This window comes from Homo sapiens, chromosome 12, assembly GCF_000001405.40.
Source record: "Homo sapiens chromosome 12, GRCh38.p14 Primary Assembly".
Classification (NCBI taxonomy): domain Eukaryota; kingdom Metazoa; phylum Chordata; class Mammalia; order Primates; family Hominidae; genus Homo; species Homo sapiens.
Genome location: NC_000012.12, coordinates 11,296,375 through 11,304,025, shown reverse-complemented (window position 1 = coordinate 11,304,025; position 7,651 = coordinate 11,296,375). Strand labels below are relative to the sequence as shown.

General features: G+C 41.9%; 1 annotated feature.

The window, feature by feature from the left end:
- Positions 5,557 to 6,152: an enhancer, noted in NCBI's record as "H3K27ac-H3K4me1 hESC enhancer chr12:11450808-11451403 (GRCh37/hg19 assembly coordinates)". NCBI's record gives its function as "activates a minimal SCP1, AML or CMV promoter by ChIP-STARR-seq in primed H9 embryonic stem cells {active_cell/tissue: H9 hESC(primed)}" and the evidence as "EXISTENCE:reporter gene assay evidence [ECO:0000049][PMID:30033119]".

The window sequence follows — 7,651 nt, the reverse complement described above, 5'->3', positions numbered from 1 at the left end:
GGTTTGCTGCACCCATCAACCCATCATCTAGGTTTTCAGCCTGGCATGCATTAGGTATTTCTCCTAATGCTATCCCTCCCCTTGCCTCCTGCTCCCCGACATCCCCTGGTGTGTGATGTTCCCCTCCCTGTGTCCCTGTGTTCTCATTGTTCAACTCCCACTTATGAGTAAGAACATGTGGTGTTTGGTTTTCTGTTCCTGTGTTACTTTGCTGAGAATCATGGTTTCCAGATTCATCCATGTCCCTGCAAAGAACACGAACTCATCCTTTTTTATAGCTGCATAGTATTCCAAGGTGTATATGTGCCACATTTTTTTTTCTTTTTTTTTAAATTATTTATTTATTTTTTTTAATTATACTTTAAGTTTTAGGGTACATGTGCACAATGTGCAGGTTAGTTACATATGTATACATGTGCCATGCTGGTGTGCTGCACCCACTAACTCGTCATCTAGCATTAGGTATATCTCCCAAAGCTATCCCTCCCCCCTCCCCCCTCCCCACCACAGTCCCCAGAGTGTGATATTCCCCTTCCTGTGTCCATGTGATCTCATTGTTCAATTCCCACCTATGAGTGAGAATATGCGGTGTTTGGTTTTTTGTTCTTGCAATAGTTTACTGAGAATGATGGTTTCCAATTTCATCCATCTCCCTACAAAGGACATGAACTCATCATTTTTTATGGCTGCATAGTATTCCATGGTGTATATGTGCCACATTTTCTTAATCCAGTCTATCATTGTTGGACATTTGGGTTGGTTCCAAGTCTTTGCTATTGTGAATAGTGCCGCAATAAACATACGTGTGCATGTGTCTTTATAGCAGCATGATTTATAGTCATTTGGGTATATACCCAGTAATGGGATGGCTGGGTCAAATGGTATTTCTAGTTCTAGATCCCTGAGAAATCGCCACACTGACTTCCACAATGGTTGAACTAGTTTACAGTCCCACCAACAGTGTAAAAGTGTTCCTATTTCTCCACATCCTCTCCAGCACCTGTTGTTTCCTGACTTTTTAATGATTGCCATTCTAACTGGTGTGAGATGATATCTCATAGTGGTTTTGATTTGCATTTCTCTGATGGCCAGTGATGATGAGCATTTTTTCATGTGTTTTTTGGCTGCATAAATGTCTTCTTTTGAGAAGTGTCTTTTCATATCCCTCGCCCACTTTTTGATGGGGTTGTTTGTTTTTTTCTTGTAAATTTGTTTGAGTTCATTGTAGATTCTGGATATTAGCCCTTTGTCAGATGAGTAGGTTGTGAAAATTTTCTCCCATTCTGTAGGTTGCCTGTTCACTCTGATGGTAGTTTATTTTGCTGTGCAGAAGCTCTTGAGTTTAATTAGATCCCATTTGTCAATTTTGGCTTTGGTTGCCATTGCTTTTGGTGTTTTGGACATGAAGTCCTTGCCCATGCCTAGGTCCTGAATGGTAATGTCTAGGTTTTCTTCTAGGGTTTTTATGGTTTTAGGTCTAACGTTTAAGTCTTTAATCCATCTTGAATTGATTTTTGTATAAGGTGTAAGGAAGGGATCCAGTTTCAGCTTTCTACATATGGCTAGCCAGTTTTCCCAGCACCATTTATTAAATAGGGAATCCTTTCCCCATTGCTTGTTTTTCTCAGGTTTGTCAAAGATCAGATAGTTGTAGGTATGCGGTGTTATTTCTGAGGGCTCTGTTCTGTTCCATTGATCTATATCTCTGTTTTGGTACCAGTACCATGCTGTTTTGGTTACTGTAGCCTTGTAGTATAGTTTGAAGTCAGGTAGTGTGATGCCTCCAGCTTTGTTTTTTTGGCTTAGGATTGACTTGGCGATGTGGGCTCTTTTTTGGTTCCATATGAACTTTAAAGTAGTTTTTTCCAATTCTGTGAAGAAAGTCATTGGTAGCTTGATGGGGATGGCATTGAATCTGTAAATTACCTTGGGCAGTATGGCCATTTTCACGATATTGATTCTTCCTACCCATGAGCATGGAATGTTCTTCCATTTGTTTGTATCCTCTTTTATTTCATTGAGCAGTGGTTTGTAGTTCTCCTTGAAGAGGTCCTTCACATCCCTTGTAAGTTGGATTCCTAGGTATTTTATTCTCTTTGAAGCAATTGTGAATGGGAGTTCACTCATGATTTGGCTCTCTGTTTGTCTGTTGTTGGTGTATAGGAATGCTTGTGATTTTTGTACATTGATTTTGTATCCTGAGACTTTGAGGAAGTTGCTTATCAGCTTAAGGAGATTTTGGGCTGAGACAATGGGGTTTTCTAGATAAACAATCATGTCATCTGCAAACAGGGACAATTTGACTTCCTCTTTTCCTAATTGAATACCCTTTATTTCCTTCTCCTGCCTGATTGCCCTGGCCAGAACTTCCAACACTATGTTGAATAGGAGCGGTGAGAGAGGGCATCCCTGTCTTGTGCCAGTTTTCAAAGGGAATGCTTCCAGTTTTTGCCCATTCAGTCTGATATTGGCTGTGGGTGTGTCATAGATAGCGCTTATTATTTTGAAATACGTCCCATCAATACCTAATTTATTGAGAGTTTTTAGCATGAAGGGTTGTTGAATTTTGTCAAAGGCTTTTTTTGCATCTATTGAGATAATCATGTGGTTTTTGTCTTTGGCTCTGTTTATATGCTGGATTACATTTATTGATTTGCGTATATTGAACCAGCCTTGCATCCCAGGGATGAAGCCCACTTGATCATGGTGGTTAAGCTTTTTGATGTGCTGCTGGATTCGGTTTGCCAGTATTTTATTGAGGATTTTTGCATCAATGTTCATCAAGGATATTGGTCTAAAATTCTCTTTTTTGGTTGTGTCTCTGCCCGGCTTTGGTATCAGAATGATGCTGGCCTCATAAAATGAGTTAGGGAGGATTCCCTCTTTTTCTATTGATTGGAATAGTTTCAGAAGTAATGGTACCAGTTCCTCCTTGTACCTCTGGTAGAATTCGGCTGTGAATCCATCTGGTCCTGGACTCTTTTTGGTTGGTAAACTATTGATTATTGCCACAATTTCAGCTCCTGTTATTGGTCTATTCAGATTCAACTTCTTCCTGGTTTAGTCTTGGGAGAGTGTATGTGTCGAGGAATGTATCCATTTCTTCTAGATTTTCTAGTTTATTTGCATAGAGGTGTTTGTAGTATTCTCTGATGGTAGTTTGTATTTCTGTGGGATCGGTGGTGATATCCCCTTTATCATTTTTTATTGTGTCTATTTGATTCTTCTCTCTTTTTTTCTTTATTAGTCTTGCTAGCGGTCTATCAATTTTGTTGATCCTTTCAAGAAACCAGCTCCCGGATTCATTGATTTTTTGAAGGGTTTTTTGTGTCTCTATTTCCTTCAGTTCTGCTCTGATTTTAGTTATTTCTTGCCTTCTGCTAGCTTTTGAATGTGTTTGCTCTTGCTTTTCTAGTTCTTTTAATTGTGATGTTAGGGTGTCAATTTTGGATCTTTCCTGCTTTCTTTTGTGGGCATTTAGTGCTATAAATTTCCCTCTACACACTGCTTTGAATGTGTCCCAGAGATTCTGGTATGTTGTGTCTTTGTTCTCGTTGGTTTCAAAGAACATCTTTATTTCTGCCTTCATTTCGTTATGTACCCAGTAGTCATTCAGGAGCAGGTTGTTCAGTTTCCAAGTAGTTGAGCGGCTTTGAGTGAGATTCTTAATCCTGAGTTCTAGTTTGATTGCACTGTGGTCTGAGAGATAGTTTGTTATAATTTCTGTTCTTTTACATTTGCTGAGGAGAGCTTTACTTCCAACTATGTGGTCAATTTTGGAATAGGTGTGGTGTGGTGCTGAAAAAAATGTATATTCTGTTGATTTGGGGTGGAGAGTTCTGTAGATGTCTATTAGGTCCGCTTGGTGCAGAGCTGAGTTCAATTCCTGGGTATCCTTGTTGACTTTCTGTCTCATTGATCTGTCTAATGTTGACAGTGGGGTGTTAAAGTCTCCCATTATTAATGTGTGGGAGTCTAAGTCTCTTTGTAGGTCACTCAGGACTTGCTTTATGAATCTGGGTGCTCCTGTATTGGGTGCATATATATTTAGGATAGTTAGCTCCTCTTGTTGAATTGATCCCTTTACCATTATGTAATGGCCTTCTTTGTCTCTTTTGATCTTTGTTGGTTTAAAGTCTGTTTTATCAGAGACTAGGATTGCAACCCCTGCCTTTTTTTGTTTTCCATTTGCCTGGTAGATCTTCCTCTATCCTTTTATTTTGAGCCTATGTGTGTCTCTGCACGTGAGATGGGTTTCCTGAATACAGCACACTGATGGGTCTTGACTCTTTATCCAACTTGCCAGTCTGTGTCTTTTAATTGGAGAACTTAGTCCATTTACATTTAAAGTTAATATTGTTATGTGTGAATTTGATCCTGTCATTATGATGTTAGCTGGTGATTTTGCTCGTTAGTTGATGCAGTTTCTTCCTAGTCTCAATGGTCTTTACATTTTGGCATGATTTTGCAGCGGCTGGTACCGGTTGTTCCTTTCCATGTTTAGTGCTTCCTTCAGGAGCTCTTTTAGGGCAGGCCTGGTGGTGACAAAATCTCTCAGCATTTGCTTGTCTGTAAAGTATTTTATTTCTCCTTCACTTATGAAGCTTAGTTTGGCTGGATATGAAATTCTGGGTTGAAAATTCTTTTCTTTAAGGATGTTGAATATTGGCCCCCACTCTCTTCTGGCTTGTAGGGTTTCTGCCGAGAGATCCGCTGTTAGTCTGATGGGCTTCCCTTTGAGGGTAACCCGACCTTTCTCTCTGGCTGCCCTTAACATTTTTTCCTTCATTTCAACTTTGGTGAATCTGACAATTATGTGTCTTGGAGTTGCTCTTCTCGAGGAGTATCTTTGTGGCATTCTCTGTATTTCCTCAATCTGAACGTTGGCCTGCCTTGCTAGATTGGGGAAGTTCTCCTGGATAATATCCTGCAGAGTGTTTTCCAACTTGGTTCCATTCTCCCTGTCACTTTCAGGTACACCAATCAGACATAGATTTGGTCTTTTCACATAGTCCCATATTTCTTGGAGGCTTTGCTCATTTCTTTTTATTCTTTTTTCTCTAAACTTCCCTTCTCACTTCATTTCATTCATTTCATCTTCCATTGCTGATACCCTTTCTTACAGTTGATCGCATCGGCTCCTGAGGCTTCTGCATTCTTCACGTAGTTCTCGAGCCTTGGTTTTCAGCTCCATCAGCTCCTTTAAGCACTTCTCTGTATTGGTTATTCTAGTTATACATTCTTCTAAACTTTTTTCAAAGTTTTCAACTTCTTTGCCTTTGGTTTGAATGTCCTCCTGTAGCTCAGAGTAATTTGATCGTCTGAAGCCTTCCTCTCTCAGCTCATCAAAATCATTCTCCATCCAGCTTTTTTCCGTTGCTGGTGAGGAACTGCTTTCCTTTGGAGGAGGAGAGGCGCTCTACATTTTAGAGTTTCCAGTTTTTCTGTTCTGTTTTTTCCCCATCTTTGTGGTTTTATCTACTTTTGGTCTTTGATGATGGTGATGTACAGATGGGTTTTTGGTGTGGATGTCCTTTCTGTTTGTTAGTTTTCCTTCTAACAGACAGGACCCTCAGCTGCAGGTCTGTTGGAATACCCTGCTGTGTGAGGTGTCAGTGTGCCCTTGCTGGGGGGTGCCTCCCAGTTAGGCTGCTCGGGGGTCAGGGGTCAGGGACCCACTTGAGGAGGCAGTCTGCCCATTCTCAGATCTCCAGCTGCGTGCTGGGAGAACCACTGCTCTCTTCAAAGCTGTCAGACAGGGACATTTAAGTCTGCAGAGGTTACTGCTGTCTTTTTGTTTGTCTGTGCCCTGCCCGCAGAGGTGGAGCCTACAGAGGCAGGCAGGCCTCCTTGAGCTGTGGTGGGCTCCACCCAGTTTGAGCTTCCCGGCTGCTTTGTTTACCTAAGCAAGCCTGGGCAATGGCGGGCGCCCCTCCCCCAGCCTCGCTGCCGCCTTGCAGTTTGATCTCAGACTGCTGTGCTAGCAATCAGTGAGATTCCGTGGGTGTAGGACCCTCCGAGCCAGGTGTGGGATATAGTCTCGTGGTGCACCGTTTTTTAAGCTGGTCTGAAAAGCGCAATATTCGGGTGGGAGTGACCCGATTTTCCAGGTGCGTCCGTCACCCCTTTCTTTGACTCAGAAAGGGAACTCCCTGACCCCTTGCGCTTCCCAGGTGAGGCAATGCCTCGCCCTGCTTTGGCTCGCGCACGGTGCGCGCACCCACTGGCCTGCGCCCACTGTCTGGCACTCCCTAGTGAGATGAACCCGGTACTTCAGATGGAAATGCAGAAATCACCCGTCTTCTGTGTCGCTCACGCTGGGAGCTGTAGACCGGAGCTGTTCCTATTCGGCCATCTTGGCTCCTCCCCGCCAAATACCCACATTTTTTTTATCCAGTCTATCATTGATGGGCATTTCGCTGGTTCCAAGTCTTTGGTCTTGTAAATAGTGCTGCAATAAATATACGCGTGCATGTGTCTTTATAGTAGAGAGATTTATAATCATTTGGGTATATACCCAGTAATGGGATTGCTGGGTCAAATAATATTTCTGATTTTAGATCCTTGAGGAATTGCCACACAGTCTTCCACAATGGTTGAACTAATTTACACTCCCACCAGCAGTGTAAGACTGTTCCTATTTCTCCACATTCTCTCCAGCATCTGTTGTTTTCTGACTTTTTTTTTGTTTGTTTGTTTTGGAGACAGAGTCTGGCTCTGTCACCCAGACTGGAGTGCAGTGGCCCGATCTCAGCTCACTGCAACCTCTGCCTCCTGGGTTCAAGTGAGTCTCCTGCTTCGGCCTCCTGAGTAGCTGGGATTACAGGTGCGTACTACCATGACTGGCTAATTTTTGTGTATATATATATATTTTTTTTTTGACAGAGTTTTGTTCTTTGTTGCCCAGGCTGGAGTGCAATTGTGGGATCTGGGTTCACTGCAACCTCTGCCTCACGGGTTCCAGTGATACTCAGTCTCCTGAGTAGCTGGGATTACACTCATGCACCAACATGCCCAGCTAATGTTGTATTTTTAGTAGAGACAGGGTTTCACCATGTGGGTCAGGCTGGTCTCAAACTCCTGACTTCAAGTGATCTGCCCACCTCGGCCTCCCAAAATGCTGGGATTACAGGCATCAGCCACTGTGCCCAGTCTGTTTCCTGACTTTTTAATAATCACCATTCTAACTGGCATGAGATGGTATCTCATTGCGTTTTTGATTTACATTTCTGTAATGATCAGTGATGATGAGCTTTTTTTCATGTTTGTTGGACACATAAATGTCTTTTTTTGAGATATGTCTGTTCATATCCTTCACCCACTTTTTGATATGGTTGTTTGTTATTTTCTTGTAAATTTGTTTAAGTTACTTGTAGATTCTGGATATTAGATTTCGTCAGATGGATAGATTGCAAAATTTTTCTCCCATTCTGTTGGTTGCCTGTTCACTCTAATGATAGTGTCTTTTACTGTGCAGAAGCTCTTTAGTTTAATTAGATTCCATTTGTCAATTTTGGCTTTTCTTGCAATTGCTTTTGGTGTTTTAGTCATAAAGTTTTGCCCATGCCCATGTCCTGAATGATATTGTCTAGGTATTCTTCCAGGGATTTTATGGATTTGGTCTTACATTTAAGTCTTTAATCCATCTTGA